This window comes from Homo sapiens, chromosome 2, assembly GCF_000001405.40.
Source record: "Homo sapiens chromosome 2, GRCh38.p14 Primary Assembly".
Classification (NCBI taxonomy): Eukaryota; Metazoa; Chordata; class Mammalia; order Primates; family Hominidae; genus Homo; species Homo sapiens.
Window position 1 is genome coordinate 108287907 of NC_000002.12, and position 23258 is coordinate 108311164.

The 23258-nt window shown below is 43.9% G+C and overlaps 1 protein-coding gene across 3 annotated transcripts; it reads left to right on the forward strand.

Moving 5' to 3' along the window:
* The first annotated feature begins 988 nt into the window (after positions 1-988).
* SULT1C2 (sulfotransferase family 1C member 2) lies at positions 989-22009 on the forward strand. 3 transcript variants are annotated; one of them, NM_176825.3, is made up of 9 exons: positions 989-1164; positions 5741-5912; positions 6323-6448; positions 10661-10755; positions 12994-13029; positions 16668-16794; positions 17266-17360; positions 17509-17689; positions 20446-22009. In NM_176825.3, the coding sequence occupies exons 2-9, from the start codon at positions 5762-5764 to the stop codon at positions 20556-20558; spliced, it is 924 nt and encodes a 307-aa protein (NP_789795.1). In that variant the 5' UTR covers positions 989-1164; positions 5741-5761; the 3' UTR covers positions 20559-22009. The 3 variants fall into 3 exon arrangements, with proteins under 3 accessions (NP_789795.1, XP_005264070.1, NP_001047.1); XM_005264013.5 differs by lacking the exon at positions 10661-10755 and having other exon boundaries at positions 6317-6448; positions 12932-13029; NM_001056.4 differs by lacking the exon at positions 10661-10755 and having other exon boundaries at positions 12932-13029.
* The last annotated feature ends 1249 nt before the right edge of the window (positions 22010-23258 follow it).

Genomic DNA, 23258 nt, shown 5'->3' on the forward strand with positions numbered 1-23258 from the left:
GCACCATTGCACTCCAGCCTGGGCAACAGGAGTGAAACACCATCTCAAAAAAAAAAAAAAAAAGAAAAAAGAAAGAAAAAGAAAGTTCAATTTATTGGGAAAAAAAGAGCCCTTTGGAAACAAGGAGGAAGAAGAAGTGTCGGCAAAGAAGCATTAGGAGGTTCAGGGTCAAAGAAGACAAGGAAAGCTTTGGCAAGAAGGGCAGATGGGGTGCAGAATTATGCTTCAATTCCAGAAAGGAAAGCACTGGGGTAGATACAAGGTTGGGGCTGGCAGAAGAGTAGCAGTTCAGAGATCATTAACACTTGATCCATTTAATTTCCCAGGTAACCAAAGACACCATGGAATATAATCTGCCTCCACTAAAGTGTACCTTTTGTACAATAAGGCAAAGAAAAAATAAGTACACACCTAAGCTCTAGACTTTTGTTCTATCCTCTCTGCATTTTCGGTGTGGATGAATACAACTTGGGAAGAAAGGAAAGAAGAACCAGCAGTTTTAAGCACTTACTATTTGCTCTGCAAAGTGTATTCATCAACATTGTTGCTTTCAATCTTAAAGCATGGATTGGAGACAGGCAGTATTACCCACACTTCATAGATGCAGAAATTAAATCTCAGGCTAAGGAGGAAGGAAAAGGGAGTTCACCAAATAAGCAGGAGCCTACCTGAAGCCTGATGCATCTGGTCCTAGAGCCAACCTTCCATTTCCCCCCAGCCCCCACCTGTTTAAGCTTCGAGGCCAGTGGGAGGAGGGAGGGGCCAGGCAGCTGAGGGCCAGGAAAGATGTGAAAAACTCTAGCTGGTGACCGAGAGGAGGAGTAGAGTGTGCCCTTAGTTCATATGAACTAGAGGGAGTTGGTATTTGCACAGCAGTCAGGGTCACATGAGTGATCATGGTACAGTGAGAAGTTCTCCCTCCCAGGGCCAGGTCACAGGGTTTGTTTCTGTTCAATCCGGATTCTTCCAGTAAAAGCTTCAACTTCCCACACTGAAGCTGAGAGCCTCCCAAAGTGCTGGCTACCTGCTGAGCGCCCCCGTAACTCTGACACAGTAGTAATTTGAGCCTCTGCAATTGCCGTCTGCTTCCTGTGAAAGTCCTTTCCGTGCCCACTGACCCTTGAGTGGGCCTTTGAGCTGCTGACTTTCAGCTGGAACTTGAAGGTAAGAATATGGCTTAAAAGAAATTCTGTACCTAACTCGTTAATTTATTTTTTAACCTTTAGCCACATAGGTGTGGCTTTACAGATGCATTTATTCAAACCAGAAAAGATCCTAAGAATCTGATAAAATAATATAAAAGAGTTTTGTTAACAGCCTCCAGCCTAAAAATTCAGACCTAGAAATTCAGGACCCCCCTCAAATCACCTCCAAAAGCTCTCTCTCCTGTAATACTATCTCTGTCTCCCACCCTGATCTTTTCCCAAATACCCTCCCTGTCCCATCCTCCTCCAGGGCCAGCTCAACTTCTCTGGCCAAGACTATTTCTTCTTCCATGACAGCCCTCCTCTTATGCCAGCCATTGACTAAGACACATGCTGGGCCTGCAAGGGGACTGAACCAGATCCTGTGCTCCAAGGGTCCAGACTTATAAGCAAGTAATTGTAGGACGTGGAGTAAGACCTATAAAATTTGCACACAAAATACTATAGGATCCCATGGAAAGGAGTGATTACTTCTGTTTACAGAGTCAGGGATGCCTCCACAAAGGAGGCCATAGTGATCTGGCCTGATATGATGAAAATGTCCCTGCTGGCTGCTCAAGGGGAAATGTATGTGTCTACATGCCTGACTCTCCAAGGGCAGGAACCATGTGCTGATGTGGCCCAGCAATGAGGGGCCTGGGGAGGGTGAGAAGGACTTGGGACTTCTCCTGTGGGAACTGGCAGATCCCTCTGCTCCCACTGCACTACCCAGCTGCCTCAATCTCTTGCTGCATCTCCTTCTCCCAGCTTTAGCCAGGTTCTATCACTCCCCGTGCAGGCCTCCAACAAGAGCAATACAGTGGGATCCATAGTTCACTGGACAGCCAAGCCCTTAACCGCCCTGGTCCTCAGCAGCAGCAGGTGCCCTTCCACACATGTTCACAGCTGTGCCCAGGCCCTCGGTCATCAGCTACCTGCCCAGAGCACAACGCCTACCACAGAGTTGGTCAATGTGTTGCGTGGATTATTCTCAGGGCATTAGTTCAAGGCCAGAGCCCTAAGCTCACATGTACACCTGCCTACAGGTGTACATTGGGAAGTCCCATAAATACATCAGACTCAACCCCAGAATTGGACTCACCATCCCCTCACCCCCACCCTATGGAGGACCTTCTCACTGTGTCCTTACATGGTCTTTCCTCCATGTGCACACATCCCTGGTGTTGCCTTGTGTGTCCTAATCTCCTCTCATTACAAGGATACCAGATTGGAATAGGTCTCATCCTAGCAGCCTCATTTTAACTTAATCACCTATTTAAAGACATTATCTCCAAATACAGCCACATGCTAATATACTATGAATTAGGACTTCAACATATGAACTTAGAGAGACACAATTCAAACCACGATAATGTCCGTCTTAGTCCATTTTATGTTGCTATAACAAAATACCTGAGGCTGGGTAATTTATAAATATAAGAGGTTTATTTTGAATCATGATTCTGGTGGCTGAAAAGTCCAAGAGCATGGTGCTGGCATCTGCTCAGCTTCTCGTGAGGGCCATGCTGCATCAAGACATGGTGAAGAAATAGAAAGGCAAGCAGGCATGTATAAAGGGACCAAACTCACCCACTTCTGGGAGATGGCATTAATCTACTCATGTGGAATCCACCCTTATGGCCCAAACACCTCTCACAAGACCCCGTGTCCTAGCACTGCCACACTGGCAGTTAAACTTCAACAGAGAGTTTTGGTGGGGACTAACCACATCCAAACCACAGCAGTATCCAAAAAGTGTTTTGTAGTTTTATGTTTATATATATGTATACTTTTTGTTCATAACTATGTATAAACAGTTTTCTATCACTATCACTGCCATAACAAATTATCAAAAATTTAGCAGCTTAAGACAATACAAGTTTATTATCTCACACCTCTGTAAGTCAGAAGTCCAAACAGGTGTCTCTGGGTAAAATCAAGGTGTTGGCAGGGCTGCGTTCCCTTCTGGAGGGTCTGAAGAAGAATCCCTTCCAAGCTCATTCTGGTTGTTGGCAGAATTCAGATTCATGTGGCTGTAGGATGGAGGTCCCATTTGCTTGTTGGCTGAGGTTCATTCTCAGCTTCTGGAGGTCATGCCTTGTCTTGTGTTCCCCTTTGTCTCTAAGCCATCAATGGCAAGTTGAGTCATTCTCATGCTTCCAAACTCTCCAGCCACTTCTTCTGCCACACGACTCTCTGACTGCTCTTCTACACCCTTGTCCACTTTTAAGTGCCCTTGTGGTCACATTAGACCCACCGGGATAATACAGGACATGCTCATTGCCTTAAGGTTCTTAACCTAAATTCCATCTGCAAAGCCCTTTGCCACACAATGTAATGTATTAGGAATTAGGACGTGGACATCTTTAGGGCCATTATTCTGCCTACAACAATATACATTTGAAAAAGACAGATAGAAATACATCAAAATAATAACAACTCTTGTGTGATAGATGTTTTCCTTGTACATTTGGACTGTTTCCAAAGTTTCTGCAATGTATAACTTTAAATTCACAATAAAAAAAAACAAGAGGCAATTTTTAAAGAAGGAACATAGGATTCGTATACAGATGTTGGCTGCGATCCTGGGCAAGTTATTGATCGTGTGACTCTCAGCTTCCTCACATTTATGAGGGTGATAATTATTCCTTCCTAATAAAATTGTCATATGAATTAAGAAAGAAAAAGAAAAGTCCACGAAGGACCTAACATAGAAGGCCTGCAAGAAATGTTTGTTCTTATCCCTCCTCTCCTGAATTTGATCATACCATTATCTCAGGAGTACTGTCCAAACTCCACCTTCTTTGATGTATTATAAATACAACTGCTTCTCATATTTGAAAATTTTCATAAATAATTTGTCTTTCGTTTTCCAAAAATTGTCTTCATCTTAAAGGGCTCAGCTCAATCTGGAAGCAGAAGCCACCATGAAAACTGCCCTCACTAATCTGGGCACCTAGTTTTCTCATCCATTCCATGAAGCAGCTGGGCCAGATTATTTTATTCAACCTCTAGCAAGCATGTACTGTTACATTTTCTGTAAGGACCCTTTCAGCTCCGAAGTTCTATCACTCATTTTCAGCAAAAGTTAAAATAAATTAATGTATACAAGGCCTCAGCCCAGCGTTGGCAAATTGACGTGTTCGATAAATGTTAGCTTTTAACTACTATTTCATTAGTAGTAGTAGTAATAAATGTCTTCTGGAACCCCAGTAGCCAGTTATCCTTGAGTAACAGTGATTTACATCTTCTGCTTTCTCCTTTTGGTGCATTTAAAAGTCTTCCCTCAATACAACAATGACAACACACACACACACACACACACACACACACACACACACACACACACACAATGCAAAACTGGGCAAAGCAGATATTTCTCCCACAAATGGCCAATAAGCATGAGAAGATGCTCAACATCATTAGACATTAGGGGAATGCAAATCAAAACCCCAATGAGCTATTTATCACCGCACAACCATTAGGATGGCTATTATCAAAACCAAAAAAACAAACAAAAAACACAAGAAACAACAAGTGTTGATGACAATTTGGAAAAACTGGAACCCTTGTGCACTGCTTGTAAAAATGTAAAATGGTGCAGCTGCTGTGGAAGATGCTGTAACATTTCCTCAAAATATTAAACATAGAATTACCAGATGATCTAGCAATTTCACTTCTGAGTATATACCAAAAAAAATTGAAAGCAATAATTCAAAGAGATATTTGTACATCGATGTTCACAGAGACCTAATTCATGACAGCCAAAAGTTTCCATCAATAGATGACTGGGTAAACAAAATATAGGCTGGGCACGGTGGCTCACGCCTGTAATCCCAACACTTTGGGAAGCCAAGGTGGGTGGATCACCTGAGGTCAGGAGCTCAAGACCAGCCTGGCCAACATGGCGAAACTCGGTCCCTACTAAAGTCACAAAAATTAGTCAGGCATGGTGGCGGGCACCTGTAATCCCAGCCACTCAGGAGGCTGAGGCATGAGAATCGCTTGAACCCTGGAGGCAGAGGTTGCAGTGAGCAGAGATCATGCCATTGCACTCCAGCCTGGATAAACAGAGTGAGACTCTGTCTCAAAAAAAAAAAAAAAAAAAAAAAAGGAAAGGTGTATATCTACAGTGAACTAGGGAAGGAAATCCCATCACATGCTACAACACGGATGAGCCTTGAAGAGATTAAGCTTTGGATCAAGCTTTCAATTAAGCATAAGATTAAGCTTAATTAATAAGACATTCACAAAAGGACAGATGTTATGTGATTCCACCTAAATAAGGTACATAGAGTCCATAGAGACAGAGAATAAAATGGTGGTTGCCAGGAGCTGAGGGAGGGGGAATGGGAATTATTGTTTAATAGATACAGAGTTTCTGTCTGGGATGATGAAAAAAATTCTAGAAAAGATGGTTATAATGGTTGCACAACAATGTGAATGTACTTAATGCCTCTGAACTGTACACCTAACGATGGTTAAAATGATCAATTTTATGTTATGTATATTTTACCACAACTTCTTTAAAAATCTCCTCTATTCTTTTCCCATAGGGACCCCAACCCTGAGACACTATGGCCCTGACCTCAGACCTGGGGAAACAGATAAAACTGAAAGAGGTGGAGGGGACCCTCCTGCAGCCTGCAACTGTGGACAACTGGAGCCAGATCCAGAGCTTCGAGGCCAAACCAGATGATCTCCTCATCTGCACCTACCCTAAAGCAGGTGATTGCAGGGTAGGAGGGACAGCAAAGACCTGCTGAGCCAGCACAGGCTCATCACTTAAGTTAGAATTCCCCTTCTTAGGAAACCTGCTCCTTCTTATTGTTCCACAATGGGTTTTGGAGCTCAGGGCTCACACAGGATGCCTGATATCCGAGTTTTCCAGGAAAGCTGCTATGCTCTACCATGCACTGGTCTTGGGTGGAGAGACCCTTGCCTGTGCTGCTCCACTCCCTACAGAGATCCAAAGTCCATCCCTCATGGACTTCTATCACTCATGGCAAACAGGATTCTGACCCAAGGGGAGGGTGATGCAAACACCAAGGCTCTACATCCTCTTCGTTTACTCGGGACTCTTCAGGGAAGATTGTCTAACAGATTTCTGCTTCTCATCCTTCCTTTCTGAGCCTCAGGGACAACGTGGATTCAGGAAATTGTGGATATGATTGAACAGAATGGGGACGTGGAGAAGTGCCAGCGAGCCATCATCCAACACCGCCATCCTTTCATTGAGTGGGCTCGGCCACCCCAACCTTCTGGTGAGAGCACCTCCCTCTTTCTCTCTTCCTGCTTTCTTTCCCTCTCTCTTCTGTTTTCCCCTGTCTTTTCTCACTTTTCTCCTCTTCTCTCCTCTCTCTCTCCCCCATCTCTCCTTCCTCTTCTCTTTCTCTCTCATTTTCACTGTCATATGTTTCTTCCTTTTATCTTCCTCTCATCCTCTGTCTACATATTATTTAAGATTTTTTACCAAAAGTGAATCACCAAATGAAAAGGATGTGTGCTAGGGTCAGATTCTGCCTTATTTTCTTCTTAAGCCCTCCCTCTGATCATGTGCAACTGTAGATCACATTGAAGATGTGAAAAACTGTAAGCCATTTATTCCTTCTTCTATCTGTACCCCAACCTGATAAAACCCAGTGCAGCCAGGAGGGTATCCAAGAATCGATAATTCACACACACATACACACACACACACACACACCCCATTGCATTTGGAACCAATTATTTCTGTTCAACAGAGAAGACTTTTCAGGTAATGCTCAACCTAGAAGTGTTTCTCTTCACATCAAAAAATAAAGAAAGCTAAAAAATATAACCAGAATGCTATATTTCAGGTAACTGGAGCTGCTGGAACTATTTTGCAAAACAAGGATAGGAGGAAGGCCTACTTCCCTAAGTTATAGCATTGCAGAGATCCATGTGATAGAAAGCTGGGAGCACAGTAGCTGAAGCTATGAAAATGTAGTTAATGCAGCTCTAGCATGAAGTCTAGACTTGGAGCAACTGTAGACAGAGGTCTGATAAATCCCTAAAAATGTCCTAAGATAGAAATTCCCTGATCTGATGCATACAAGACACTTGTAACCTGTGGAAGGAGGTGTCTCCAAGTCAGAATAGCCTTAAAGGATTTTGCTTTCCCCTATGATCCTACCATCCAGCCCCTCTGGCTCCTCTGGCTTTCGAAGAAGAGAAAATGGTCACTAGGTAGGTAACTACTCGCTTTGTAACCCAGTGCCTGTTCCCGCCCTGCTCTGAAATACCTGTGGGGCTCTGACCCCATAGACAGGCCAGCCTCTGCCTGCTTAACCATGATCTCACTCCATGTGCCATGAGGACCTGCTGTTTTGTGTGTGTCTGGTCTTCTGCTCCTTGAGCAGCAGGATGGTATAATAGTTAAGGACTACCAGGGTTTAAATCCTGACTCCATCACTCACCTCACAACGTTTAAATCCTGACTCCGTCACTCACCTCACAATGTTTACATAACCTCTCTGTGTTACAGTTTCCTTAGCTGCAAAGTGTAGATAGAATCAAGGCCTATCTCAAAGAGTTGTTGTGAGCATTAACAAATTCAGTATAGGTAAAAAGCTTGAAGCAGTGCCTGACACTCAGAGGATACTATCTACGTGTTAGCTATCTTTACTAACCACTTCTCCAGGCCCCATGACCCCATGTGTTCCCTGATTATCTAAGACCAGCATTTTTTGTTTATTTAAAGATGGAGGCTAGCTCTGTCACCCAGGCTGGACTGCAGTGGTGCCATCATAGGTCACTGCAACCTGGAACTCCTGGGCTTAGGCAATCTTCCCACCTCAGACTCCTGAGTAGCTGGGACTACAGGTGAACACCGCCACACCTGGCAAATTTTTTGCTTGTAGAGATCGGGTTTCACTATGTTTCCCAGATTGGTCTCAAATACCTGGCTTCAAGCAATCCTCCTGCCTCGGCCTTCCAAGCCACTGGGATCACAAACATGAGCCACCACACCCAGCCCAAGAACGGCTTTTGATCTTTGTTCTACCTCCTGCCCCTGCCGCTGCCCAGTGTCTTACCTCTGGCAATTTGAGAGATTAAAGAAAGAGGAGAGGCCTAAGCAAGATTTCTAATGAAGTATTCTTAGCAGTAGAGAGCAGAGTGTTCAATCACTAAATCGGCATAAAAACCAGGATAGAGCTGTAGAATCCAGAGAAAGGATGGTAATCAAACGGCCAGCTTGGCATGTCATACAGAGGCACCCTGGCCTCTTTAGGAACCAAGGTGCCCTGTGTGAGAATAACAAACAGTCTCAGGCTTTATGATCTGCCCAGCCACAGACAGCTGAATGCTGGCTGGAGACTCAGCTGTGCAGTGGTCGTTTGTTTGGTTTTTTTTTTGAGACAAAGTCTGGCTCTGTTGCCCAGGCAGGAGTGCAATGGCATGGTCTTGGCTCACTGCAACCTCTGCCTCCCGGGTTCAAGCAATTCTCCTGCCTCAGCCTCCCAAGTAGCTGGAATTACAGGCACCTGCCAGCACGCCCAGCAAATTTTTGGTATTTTTAGTACAGTCAGGGTTTTACCATGTTGGCCAGGCTGGTCTCGAACTCCTGACCTCATGATATACCCGCCTCGGCCTCCCAAAGCACTGAGATTATAGGCGTAAGCCACCGTGCCCAGCCAGTGGTTTTCTTTCAGAGTAGATAATCCCTGCCAGTTGAGGTGAGGAGCATCACTGGGAGGAGACCAGTTGCTGACATAGACTCATGGCTGTCGGCCAAAGGTCTCAACCACCCTTGGAGCATTCTGGAGTGGTCAGACACTACTGGACAATGGATGAGCTTGTGCCCTGCATGGTCAGTCTCCCTTCCAGGCCCCCTTCTGCTCTCCCATCAACTCCCAGCCTTGTAGCCGTTCTGTGACAAAAGGGATTACATCTGTGACCCACAGAGAATTGGTTTGGAAAGACTTTGAAAAGACCTGTGTGCATGTGTATGCATATGCATGTGTGTGTGTGAACTGTATATAGGTGAAATCTAGGAATGATCCACTTAGTTTCAGCAAACATCTATGCTCAAGGGCCTATGCTGCTCATAAGACTTCACACCTACTTGCCCTCAATAAGTTATTGTCCCATGGAAGAAACCAATGCAGATGATATAACAACAAGCATGGAGGGCTACTGGCAGGGTGAGGGGAACATGGCCAATGAACCGTTCCTGGAGGTGACACCTGAAATGATAAACTGTTGTCATTACTAATTTTCTGCCTCTGTCTCCTGCCAGACTGCAAACTCTTTGATGGCAAGAAACAAGTTCTGTTTAACTTTGTACTCCCATGGGGCTGTTTCTACAGTATTGGCTGAATTGATTTATCCCTCACAGCCACATGCAATTTGGCTCAAATCCCAAGGCTAAAATCTTAGTGCAACTGACGAAGGCCAAAAATGACCCCGTTTGCCCCCTTCTTCCAAGCTAGTGGGCTTGGGAATGGGCCCTGCAGCCTGGGCTGTGTCATGCACACTCTCCACGCTGTGCTTCTCCACCCTGAGTCTGAGCAACCATCGTGGTATTCCTGGCGGGTGAGGCAACCCCATGGGGCTTTTCTGAATCATTGATGAGAGAGAGGTGGGGCGAGGGTGTGGGGGGGCAGAATGTACAATGTACCTATGTTCATAAAAGAAAACACTGGTCAACTGCTTTATGTCAAGCCCCGACTCCACAGTATCTCTCTCCTGTAGGGGTTTTTTGGCAGAAAAATTTGGAGTTAGAGCTGGACTGAGCCCACCAACAGGGCTGGATCAGGAGTAGGAGTGGGCCTTCTTATTTGTCATGGGCAGGAAGGATGACTGTGAGCCATCTAAGGACCATAATGACTGAGTACAGATTTCCCAATTAGAAGACTGGGTCTCTTTTAGGCATTAAGTGGTTACTGCCCACAGGGCATTAAATCAGGTGTAATAGGAAAGAGGAGAGCCGCGAGTACCAGGAAGGAAATCAACCAGCCTGCAGATCTCACTTTCTGGCAGATTCCCTGAATTTGCTCCCCAGCTTGGGATTGACAGTCCAACTCCATCCATAACCTTCCCTTCTGTCCTCTATGTCTGCTAAGGTTTCTTATAGCTTTCATCTCCGTTTCTCTACATTGTGCTTCTTTAGCTCTGCCACTATTTTTCTTTTCAGCTATATAAGCTCTGCTATTTAACCCTACTCATTGTAGGTTTTCATGTCCAAACACTATAAATCTTCCCAGTCTTTTTAGTAGTCTCTTGTTTCCTTGCTCATGTTTTCAACTTTCTCTTTTATTCCTTTGCACTTTTTTTTGAGACAGGGTCTCACTCTGTCACCCAGGCTAGAGTGCAGTAGTGCAAACACAGCTCACTGCAGCCTCAATCTCTCGAGCTCAAGCGATCCTCCCATCTCAGCCTCCCGAGTAAGTAGCTGGGACTACAGGTGCGTATCACCATGCCCAGCTAATTTTGGTATTTTTTTTTTTTAGAGACAGGATTTCACCATGTTGCCCAGGCTGGTCTCAAACTCCTGAGCTCAAGCAATCCACCTGCCTCAACCTCCCAAAGTGCCAAGATTACAGACGTGAGCCACTGCCCCTGGTCTTCTTTGCATATTTTAAACATAGTTATTTATATTCTCTATTAGGTACCCAATAACTGAGGTCACTAGGGGTTTAGTTCTTCCACCTGTTTTTTTTCTAGCTCTTGTTCATAGGGCTTTTCCCTCACTTGTTTTGTAATTTTGTATAAAAAGCTCTTTTCTCCCTGTCTTGATCTCACACCTACATTGGAACATTTCCAATCTAGAATAGTTTAAGTTAACTTCTGGTCCAAGCTGGTAGTATAATTTCATATCCATGCATGTAGTATGAAAACAGGATTGTGGTTATGAGCTCTCAAGAAAGCCTCTTTTTCTGCACCCAGAGGCGAGGCAAGGAAATTACCTTACCTCTCTTTGGCAGTAGGTGATCTTTTTCTCTCTCACCTTTCACTGAGGTAGCAGACATTTGAGTTTCTCCGGCTAATGCATGGGTCTCTGTTCCTAATCTGTGCCTCACTAAAGTCCAGGGCTACCAGCCTCTTCCCTGAGCAGAGGTCACTGAACTGAGCACTGGGTGTCCAGAGGGTGAACCCACTCAGGGCAGCTGTCATCAAAGCCTTTGCCCACTTCTCCATCTTGCAGCTCCCTCCCTCTTCACTTTCGTCCCTGGAGGGTCCCCTTATTTTCTTATGAGCCTGATTATGCACTTAAATGATACGTTTGGTGTTTTAATCAGAATCTGCAGGTGTGTGATTAACAGGAAAGATCTTCATAATGTTCAGGCCACCATGTCTCCAGCAGTGAAAGTACTTGGAGAGACCCTTGAAGAGTGAGTGGGACTGTCCAGATGTGTAGAAATGAGAGCCGGAGGGAGCCACAGGGGCGTGGGGCAGCAGGACCAGGGCATGTGGAAGGTCAGAGTGTGAGCTGGCGTAGAGGTGGAGCTGAGAAAAGAGACTAGAGGCAGGAGAGCTTTGCAGTTCTTCTAAGGAATATGGACTTCAAAAATGGTTAAAGGTGGTTTTCCAACTTTTCTTTTTAGTACCAAAACACTTTTTTATTTAACAAAAATTACCATGACTACATGATCCAGCAATTCCACTTCTGGGTATATATCCCAAAGAAATAAAAACAGGGTCTGAAACAGATACCTGTACATCTACATTCAAAATAACATTATTCACAATAGCCAAAAGGTGGCAACAACCCAAGTGTCCACCAATGGCTGAATTGATAAACAAGATGTGGATATACAATGGAACATTACTCAGTCTTAAAGAGGAAGGAGATTTTCTGCACTAACTTGACCCAGCTCCTCTGACATGATTCGCATGAGCCTCTGATTCCCACACTAGAGTGGAAGCTCCTTAGGGAGAAGGCCTGTGTTTTTCTTGTCTTTGTTGCCTTTTCCCCTAACCTCAGCTTAACACGATGATTGCACAAAGTGCTCGTTAAGGCTTTTAAATGAGAGAGTAGAGGCCGGGCACCGTGGCTCATGTCTGTAATCCCAGCACTTTGGGAGGCCAAGGCAGGTGGATCACGAGGTCACCAGATCGAGACCAGCCTGACCAACATGGTGAAACCCCGTCTCTACTAAAAATAGAAAAATTAGATGGGCGTGGTGGCCAAGCGCCTGTAATCCCAGCTACTCGGGAGGCTGAGGCAGGAGAACTGCTTGAACCTGGGAAGCGGAGGTTGCAGTGAGCCGAGATCGCACCACTGCACTCCAGCCTGGTGATGGACCAAGACTCCGTCTCAAAAAAAAAATGAGACAGTAGAAATCATGACTCACAGGCCAGCAAGTATACATGTTTTTAGAGATGAAACAAGTGATTGCAAACAGGCCGGGTACATGAGACAGCCTGCTGCAGGCACATGGGGGTCATCTCTGGCTGGCAGGAAGGTGAGGGAGTCCTCTCTTCTCTGGTCCTGGCTGACTCTGCCTCAGCAGGACTTCACTTGACCATTCTCACCTTCTGTCACCTCATCCTTAAAGTGACAGAGTAAATTAACTCTAAGGCCCCATCCAGGACTCAAGCTGTGTGATTTTACAAAAATGAAAATTATATTAATAATCCCATTGTAAAATCCCAAAAGAAAGTCAAGAGACTAGCAGAAAGACAGGTGGGTGATGGGATGTCCTGGACAGAGCCTGGATCATGAGGTCCCCATGTAGTGCTTGTACTACGCAGATGTTTCCTCTTGAGCTATTTTAAAGGTGTGGAAAAAGCCAAAGCAATGCCCTCTCCACGGATACTAAAGACTCACCTTTCCACTCAGCTGCTGCCACCGTCTTTCTGGGAAAACAACTGCAAGGTAAGATACCAACAGCTCCCTGTGACAGAAGGGAAAGTAAGCCAACCAAAGCGAGTCCTGCAGACCCCAACGCAGAGCATTCGTGATCACCTTTGCCTCTCCACTGTCTCTGATGCTTACCAGCAAAGAGAAAACATAAAGTTCTACATTCAGCAGGACATTCACCTGAACAGTTTCAAATAGGACATGAAGGCAGGATCCAGATTGAATGTTTGGAGGGAACTAGAGACATGGGGAGGCAGTGAGTGCAGTAAGCGTAGCTGTGAAATGAAGGGGAGAAGATGGTGGTCCCAGGCTGCAGGCCATGGGGAGGTTTTCTAACAGACCAGGGAGGGAAGAATGAGAGGAAAAAAGCTAAAGCTCTCCCCAAAGGAGGCCAGGCGCGGTGGCTCACGCCTGTAATCCCAGCACTTTGGGAGGCCGAGGCGGGTGGATCACAAAGTCAGGAGATCGAGAGCACGGTGAAACCCCGTCTCTACTAAAAATAAAAAAAAACTTAGCCGGGCGCGGTGGCGGGCGCCTGTAGTCCCAGCTACTCGGGAGGGTGAGGCAGGAGAATGGCGTGAACCCGGGAGGCGGAGCTTGCAGTGAGCCGAGATCACGCCACTGCACTCCAGCCTGGGCCACAGAGCGAGACTCCATCTCAAAAAAAAAGTTCTCCCCAAAGGGTAAACAGATGAATCAGGCAGAGCAACGCTCTTGAGGACACCCCACCTCTGCCTCTGGTAGACTCTGAGTTCTTCGTTTTATTTATTCTGTGACTTTATTCGTATGCACCCCAGTGCCTAATAAGTTCCTGGCACATAGAGGGCATTAGACACGTCCTTGCTGAGTAAATACGGAAGTGGCTGTAGAGCAGGTGGAGTCAAGGGTACAAACTGAGCCGCCAGCCTTGGTGAGAAAGTGGGGCACTGCTTCCTTAAAGGCAGGAATGAAGGGGAAAGAAGGGCTAAGAAAGATATGTTGCTAGGGGACTGGAGTGAAGTTGGAGGACTCAAATGACTTCACTCCTTTTAGTAATAATGTTGGATAAGGGGACAAAAACTTCCATTTCCAGAATTATGGCAAACTAGGTGTTCTGAACCCCTGAAGCCCTTATATGTAGAACATCCAGGATTACTGCATAAAAAAATCACAAGTTTCCTTTTAATGCATAACTGAGATCAAAATAAAGTCCCTAAGTTTAGAAACTGCAGAGGAAACTGAAACTCAGAGAGGCAAATTGAGACTGGGACTCTCCAGGGGAAATCTGATGACCTGGATAATCCAGCAATTTAAGTTTTAATGGCTGCACAGGGACAGGGTCAAAGCCCATGGCACAAGGAACCAGAAGAATGAGGAGCCAAAGCTGGGACCACTGAAGGGCTACATCCTCAATGGATGGGTGGAGGAGGCAGAGAAAGACCTTAGGGAACCACTCTGCCTTGACCTAGGCGCTCAGCTCCCTTGAGAATGTATAGCCACAGGTTTACTCCCTCGGGGTTTGAGATTGAAAATTGCACTCCTTGCATTGTCCAAGAAACTACAAGCAGAGACATTCCACAAGGTGGTCCCCACAGCCAGTGTTCCCAGGTCCGCTCTGGAGGGACACAGCTGCAACTCAGACCCCCATAGGATCCCCACTTGAGCTCACCATCCCACATTACAAAATACACAAAAGAACAAGCCACCATGAGATGCAGTCTTCAGAAAGAACCCATGGAAGAGTCAGACCTCAAGAACTTCAGACAATGTAATTATCAACTCTAGAAATAAGAGAAGGTTCAAGTTGTGTGAATAAATGAAAAAGTGTATCAAAAATAAAATAAAGAAATAAGATGCTACTTTTAGACACAGAAATATTAAGTAAATAAATGGAATTTCTATAACAAAAAAATATAAAATCATGGAAATTAAAAACTCAAGCATAGGATAAAGTGCAGAACAGCTGCATAGAGAATTAGTGAACTCAGACAGGAAGGTTTGAGGGTAAAGGTTTGAGGAGAGAGGAGAGACCTGTGTCTGGAGCTAAGAGCCAAGAGATGGAGCACGGGAGGGATTAATAAAAGGATTATCAAGCAGCAATGAAGAGGAAGAAAACTGAGCATAAAAAATTTAGAAACTAGGGGAATTTTTTAAATCAGCATTTCTTAAAACCTTCTTTACTGGTGCTTGGCAGCTTGGTAAGTTGGAGAAGAGAAGATGGGGAGTAGGACTTAGTAGACAGTAACAGAGTCAACGCTTTCAGGAGCAGGGTTTCTCAACCTTAGCACTTGCTCTAAAGGGCCTGGGACTTGATATAATCAGGCATGGCAAGACATGCAGGTACAGTGGTGACTGTCATAAGGAAGAAGTGTGTCCTCGCAGATACCTAGAACAGGAGGCATGGCATGTCACACAGAGCCTCACAGGGAAGCAATGGGATAGGTCAGGAGGAAGAGACAGTGAGTAGAAGACATGGGCAAGAGCCTTGATGTGGTTTCTTTGGGAAGGAATAGTTGAGGCAAGGTAGGCAGGCTTGGGATTGGCCAGTTTGAACCACTGGAGCAGGCTTTCAGCCACAGGGGCTTGGCCTAGTGGTCTGGTATCTGACCCTGGGGTGTCAGGGCAGGTGAATAATGGCCCAGTGTGTAAAAGCCCAACAGTGGAAGTGTTGGGGGTATAGGCTCTGGGGTGTTGTAGGCAGTTCCTCCAGAGTCAGCAAAGCCCCAGGATGTCAAAGCATCAGATACAGAATATAAAAGACATAATTAATACAGCACTCCTGACATTTGGGGCAGATTTTTCTTTCTTGTGGGTGGGAGCAAGGGGACTCTTCTATGTATTGTAGAATGTTGAACAGCATACTTGGCCCCTGCATGGATGCCAGTAGCACCACTACTCCAAGCTGTGCAACCAAAAATGTCTCCAGACATTGCCAAATGTCCCCTAGTGGATACAATCATCCCATCATCCCCAATTGAGAACCACTTAAAAGTGAAAGAATAAAAAAGCACAGCATTGAAATAGCTGGTCATAGATCTGAGATGCATAGTCAAGAGGCCCATTTGGCATTGATGCCATTAAAATGTGAACTGAGTACTGGATAAAAGGTCAGATTTGGTAAAATGAAAGGTTGGGAGAGTGCAGGGATGTGAAATTGTGGGCAAAGTGGAACTTGAAGGAATGTTTGTAGGGGCAGAGCTGAAATGATTAGAGATGGAAATCATTCAAGCCGAGGAGGCCAGGAGAAAAATAGGAGCTATTTTCTTGCTGTGTGGCTCAAACTCTTAAACATGAAGCTTCTGTGCATCTTTGGGAGGGTGCGCGAGGGGTCATCAGTTTACGTTGATACTGTGGAAGTCTCCTATTCAAGTGGCAGGTCATAGTTTACAGAAAAAGATTTTGCTCCTGATACCAAAGGGGCAATCAGGCAATCTAATCCTCACCAATCCCTAATTGATTAGCTAATTAAAAGGACTGAGTTTGAAGTAGAGAGCAGACTTGGTGACAAAGCAGAGACAGAAAGAAGAGGGAGGTCACAAGGCCAAGTCGCAGGGCCAGCACTGCAGAACTGAGCCAGAGTGCACAGCAACCCTCAGGATGGCTCTGCCTAAGGGAACTCTGTGAAAGTCCACTTTTTATACCATCTTTTACCCACCTCTTTTCTTACCCCAAAGTTCCTTTATGTAGCTCGAAATGCCAAAGACTGTATGGTTTCCTACTACCATTTCCAAAGGATGAACCACATGCTTCCTGACCCTGGTACCTGGGAAGAGTATTTTGAAACCTTCATCAATGGAAAAGGTACGGGAACATCCTTCACACCCTTGCATTCTCACTCCAGCTAGGCTGGGTCTAGGGAACCACAGGCAGCATTTTATCCCCTAGAATGCCTGTACTTCATCAGGTGTGTCCTACCACAGACTGGGACTGGGCAGAGCAAGCTGGCCACTGAGTGTATGCCCACAGCCCTCAGCAAACATCTTCCACCTGATTCAGAGTCTTTAATTACAGCCATCCTCTTCCAAAAGGTGTCCTTGTCCCTATGTGATTGCACATAATAGGAAGCCACTTTAGGGACGATGTTGGGGCAAGTAACCCTAAGGCTGTCCCCATCTACACCACCCTCAAAATCAAACAGATCAGAACCCTTAGGACATATCTAATACAGAATTTGGGTTTTCTCTCTCTAACTCACTTCAGGAAAATCCCTAATACTCAGAAGGTTTTGTGTGATGCCTATGTAGACTATTCTGTTTCCTGTGTCTATTTCAGTGGTTTGGGGTTCCTGGTTTGACCACGTGAAAGGATGGTGGGAGATGAAAGACAGACACCAGATTCTCTTCCTCTTCTATGAGGACATAAAGAGGGTGAGTGAAGGCTCTGCAGAAGAACCATTTTAAAGTGGTTCTTCAGGTGCAGAGAAATTCAAAGTTGTTTCAAAGGACATCCCAGAGAATTGTAGTATTTCTTTATGATACTCTCATTCATTCCAGTCCAATGTTACCCTTGCCGCAGGACCCAAAGCATGAAATTCGGAAGGTGATGCAGTTCATGGGAAAGAAGGTGGATGAAACAGTGCTAGATAAAATTGTCCAGGAGACGTCATTTGAGAAAATGAAAGAAAATCCCATGACAAATCGTTCTACAGTTTCCAAATCTATCTTGGACCAGTCAATTTCCTCCTTCATGAGAAAAGGTGTGTGGGGCCTCTTTATCATACATTCAGATTGTCTCGTAACATCCTGTCTGCCTCTTAGCAGACAATATTGAGTTTTATTAATTCCAAGCCAATGCATTTCAACTATTCCTAATATGTGTTTCTAATAAAACCAGGGATTTGATCCTGTTGTAGAAGAGAGCTTTCTAGGGTATTGTTCCAGTATTTGGTTGCAAGGAACAGAGAGTCCCTCAAGCTAGCCCCAAAGAAAGGGGCTTACTGTGAAGATTCACCATGGACAATAAAGGAAATGCAATCACATAGAAAACTAGGAAGAGGAGCCACCACTGGTCCAGACCTCCCAGGGGCCGCTGGATCTCAGGGTCCAGGACTCAGCAGCAGGAGGGATGTGTCTTTGCTCCAAAGCTCCACCACTTACAGGACTCAGCTGCTTTTCACATATCTATTAGGCATGGCTTCCTCTGCTAACCAGCTTCCGGTCTCTCCACCCATTACAACTTTCTCCCACTTTATAACTTCTGATGACTCAGTTTCTGCTCATAACTTGGTCTTGACCCTTACCCAAACCTGCTCTACTTCATGAGTTTCAACTACAACTACTGTTGAGAACTGCCTCATCCTCAGTATTTCTTAGTTCCAATTCCCAAAGGAGGAATTCTAACTGGCCCATCTAATATTTTTTAAGAAAAAACTTTATCACTTTCTAATTTAAAAAGCAAAACATGTCATTGTTAAATATTAAATTGGGCTGGGCAGATTGACTTATGCCCATAATCCCACGTTTTGGAAAGCTGAGGCATGAGGATTGCTTGAGGCTAGGAGTTCGAAACTAGACTGGGCAACACAGCAAGACCCCATCTCTACAAAAAAAAATTAATTAGCTGGGTGTGGTGATGCATCCCTGTATTCCCAGCTTCTCAGGAGGCTAAGGTGGGAGGAGCACTTGAGCCCAGGATTTTGAGAATGCAGTGAGCTAGGACCTTGCCACTGTACTCCAGCCTGGGTGACAGAGAAAGACACCAGCTTTTCTTAAAAAATAAACTAAATAGGCTGGGCATGATGGCTCACGCCTGTAATCCCAGCACTTTGGGAGGCCTAGGCAGGCAGATCACGAGGTCAAGAGATCAAGACCAACCTGGCCAACATGGTGAAACCCTGTCTCTACTAAAAATAAAAAAATTAGCTGGGCGTGGTGGTGCACGCCTGTAGTCCCAGCTATTCGGGAGGCTCATGCAGGAGAATCACTTGAACCCAGGAGGCAGAGGTTGCAGTGAGCCAAGATCATGCCACTGTACTCCAGCCTGGTGACAAAGTGAGACTGTCTCAATAAATAAATAAATAAATAAAATCAGTATAAAATTATATTTTTTAAAAGTCTCTCCACAAAAACTCCACCCCCAAGAAGTAACTACCAACAGTATGGAAGTCCCTTTCTCTCTCATTTATAACATACAGATTTTTTATTCACAACAGTGAAATCATGGTATACACACTGCTTTGAAACATCTTTTCTTCTTCCTCTTTGATTTTGCATGTGCTTGAATTTATGTTGTTGCATTTTCCAATCTACAACAGTATTCCATACCAATGAAACAAACCAAAATATTCTACCCCTTTTCTCTTTGGATAACCAGTGGTAATGATTTGTCAAGGTGCCCTTCTTCAGGCTCATACATAACCATCTTTCTATACACCCTCCTTCTTCAGACTCACACAGACACAAAGATATGTAACCATAATGAAAGCTTGCTCCCTAAAATGCAGAATGGGGTCATATTTTATACCTTTACTTACCAGGATATGAGAAACCCCTCTAGGGCAAGGCATATAGACTCATACACCTCATTGATTTCTTTGGTCCCATGTTATACCAAGCGAAGGATGCATCATAATTCATCCAACTATTCCCTTAATGATAGACACTATAGTTATTATTGTTTTCAATGTTTGTTTTTATGCATAATGTTACAGTAAATATCTTTGTGCATAAATTATTTCCAGATGCTTTTATTTCTGTTGCATAATTTTCTGGAAGAGGTATTGGTGGGGAAAAGAGAATTTCCCCTGTTTAAAATTAGTTTAAGTTGTTGTTTGGTGAAAAATATTATCTCATTCATATTTTTCCAAAATAGTTTTTTATTGAGATATAATCAAAATACCAAAAATGCACAGATCTTAAGTATACAGTTCAACCCATTTTAATAAATGTATATACCCACACCACCCGCACCCCAATCAAGATATGAAACATTTTCATTACCCCAGAAAGTTCCCTCTTGTGCCCTTTTCAGTCAATGTCTACCTCCAGGGACAACCGTTTTTCCAATTTCTATTACTCTAGATTGATTTTGCCTGTTGCTGGACTTCACGTAAATGGAATTTCACAGTATTTACTTTCCTGTGTCTCGTGTCTTTTGCTCAACATAATGTTTTGAGATTCCTCCATGTGGTTGTGTGTCTGTAGTTCATCATTCTTTTATGTCTATGTAGTAATCCATCAGGTAAATACACTACAGGTGGGGCCAGGTCATGCAGGCCACTAGCTGCCTTGGGTCAGTTGTCCAGCTGACTTAGAAGTCCATCCCCCTGCACAGAGTCCCCTAGGCCTGCTTCTTATAGGAGAGCTGCTCATGGACAGGTGTCCACTGAAGGGGGAGTTGGGTGAGTCAGGTATGTGGACAGGCCAGATTCAGTATGGGCACTACACCACTTTACTCAGGGACACCACATCTTTCAATCAGAGTGACACTCCTGTCTGGCCTTCCTTTTTCTAGGAACTGTGGGGGATTGGAAAAACCACTTCACTGTTGCCCAGAATGAGAGGTTTGATGAAATCTATAGAAGAAAGATGGAAGGAACCTCCATAAACTTCTGCATGGAACTCTGAGCAAGATGTAAATAAAATTAAAAGGTGGATGGCAAGAGTGCAAATACTATCTTCAATCCTTCAGTCCCAGCCAGAAGAATCTCTGAAAGCATATTGTGAATGTATACAATGTAGTACAAACAATCTCTGTGATGATTAACAGTATGTCACCACTTCATTTTTTAAAAAGGATCACGTCTAATGCCCATTTTCCCAACTATTCTTTCCAAAGTAAGATATAAGGTAGCTTAATAAACTAAGTAAAACGTATGACTTGAGTACAAAAGGATTGTTTTAATCCCCATTATTCTGGAAAGTGCATCCTAGTCTCCCAGTCTATAACATCATAATACCTTGAGTATAAGTCCAAATATTAGGTTATATCTATATTAAAAACAAAATTTCTGTCATCTGTCCTGGCCATTCAGGCAACTCCAGCCTGGGCTCAATCCTGGAGTTCTGTCTGGTCACTATCAGAAGGAACACTTTGAGGGAAACCCTGGTGCAGCCAGCCCTGAGGAAACATGGCCTGAGTGCCCTCACTGGTGGGTGGGAATAAAATGGAAGTGCACAGAGGAGATGTCAGAAGACCAAAACTTGGTGAATAGTCCCAGTGCTAGGTCATATAGGAAACAGAAAGCATGACAGTGGCCTTTTGGGAACCCAAGTTACGTCCTGGTGAAAGCAGAAAGGAGGAGACAGGATGGCTGTCAACAACGTCAGCATGGGCATGGCTCCCAGGCATGGAGGTAATTGGGTCTTGGCTTCAATGCCACCCTTTTGGGAAGCCCTAAACCAAGTGAGGTGTTCTTTTCCCTTGCTTCCCATATTTGTCCCAGTTGCAGCCCTGTTGTTATGTATTTACTCTTCAATTTCTTATTTATACCTCTCACTCAATTGTTAATTCTTTGGGTTCAGTCTCATGCCATATTTACTCCTAGTACCTAATGCAGTGCCTGGCACACAGCAAGTGCCCTTGAGAACTTGTAGAGGGAGTAAAAAAGTGCATGGATAAATGACTGCAGCAAATCACAAATTTTGAACTTTGACCCTTTTCTTTTAGTCCCAAATAGTGGCATTCCATAGCTGAGGGTAGTAGGAGCAGTTCACCCTGGGAGCAGACAATAAGAGGAAGAATGAAGCCAACTAAAATTCTGAATGCTTTTTGTTGGATTTCGTAGGGTATTTTTTTTAAAATAGGGTCTTGCTATGTTGCCCAGGCTGGTCTTAACTGACTGCTTTTTATTATTACCATGCACTGGCAATTCCAAACAATGTCAGTGTTAAAATGCTTCTCCCTGAAAAAGAGAAAAAAAAAAGGAAAAAAAGAAAAGAAAAGTGAAAAGAAAAACTCTTATTGGCCTAAGTTCTAAATAATAGCTAGGTTACCACTGAGTTTTAACTATATGTATATGAGCTTCAAATAAGCACCTTTTTATTATGTAAATAAATAAAAGTTATCTGTATCCCCACTGCATTGTAAAATTTTTGTTGTTTTGTTTCATGTCTTATTCACCTTTGTATGGAAATTAATTCAGAAACCCCAAGCATAGAGTCTACCTCTTTAATTCCAGCAGGCAGATGTAGTTCTGCCTGCTTCCTTCCAAGGTTAAGTTCATAACAGTTCAGAATCTTGCAAGCTCACTTCAGGTATAACCTGTGTCTCCAACCCTGCAGTATTTGGATATTGCTGTTTAAACAGTAGATTTGGCATAGATGATGGTGGCACAATGGTTGTAAAGGAAAAGAAGCAGAACACCTCAGTTTGTTCAATTCTCTCATTGGGGTTTTCAGTTGTATCCAGAATTTAAAACAGTAAAATTTAAGAGTGTGAACAGCAACATTCACACTTTGTTTAGTAAGTACAAAGTTGTGCTCATACAGGAAGTTTACTGACTTTGAATAATAACTTTAAAAACAAAATTTACTCTTTTCTAAGTGTTAATTATTTGTTTTAAAATTTAAGAATGAATCAAGAAATAAAACATTACACCAGTGGTATGATTTAGTAATTGTCTGACTTATACTTTTTGTAGACATTTTAGTTTTATTTAAATTGGCATTCTGATTTTTTTACTGGTCTTGAGTCTATACACAAAAGTTGAATAAAAGAAAAGTTTCACTGACTACATTTCTTTACTATTATTATTACTTGTCTCTATTCATGATCAACACTGAAAATAATTTTGTTGTATACGGAAGTAATGTTGATATGGTTAGGCTGTGTCCCCACCCAAATTTCATCTTGAATTGTAGCTCCTATAATTCCCTCATGTTGTGGGAGGGACCCCGTGGGAGATCATTGAATCATTGAGGTGGTTTTCCCCATACTGTTCTCATGGTAGTGAATAAGATGTGATGATTTTATAAGGGGTTTCCTCTTTCACTTGGCTCTCATTATCTCTTGTCTGTCACCAGGTAAGACATGCCTTTTCACCTTCTGCCATGAATATGAGGCCTCCTCAGCCACATGGAACTGTAAGTCCATTAAACCTCTTTTTCTTTATAATTTACCCAGTCTTGGGTATGTCTTTATCAGCAGTGTGAAAATAGACTAATAAAGTAAACTGATACTGGTAGAGTGGGGTGCTGCCATAAAGATACCCAAAAATGTGGAAGTTGCTTTGGAACCTGGTAACAGGCAGAGGTTGGAACAGTTTGGAGGGCTCAGAAGAAGACAGGAAAATGTGGGAAAGTTTGGGACTTCCCAGAGACTTGTTG

What these genes read in the sequence shown, in the direction of transcription:
- SULT1C2 (NM_176825.3), top strand. Translation starts at nt 5,762, where the DNA reads ATGGCCCTGACCTCAGACCTGGGGAAACAGATAAAACTGAAAGAGGTG. An exon ending in CTGCACCTACCCTAAAGCAG is followed by an intron (nt 5,913 to 6,322) that starts GTGATTGCAGGG and finishes TCTGAGCCTCAG; the next exon opens with GGACAACGTGGATTCAGGAA. An exon ending in TCTGGGAAAACAACTGCAAG is followed by an intron (nt 13,030 to 16,667) that starts GTAAGATACCAA and finishes CTTACCCCAAAG; the next exon opens with TTCCTTTATGTAGCTCGAAA.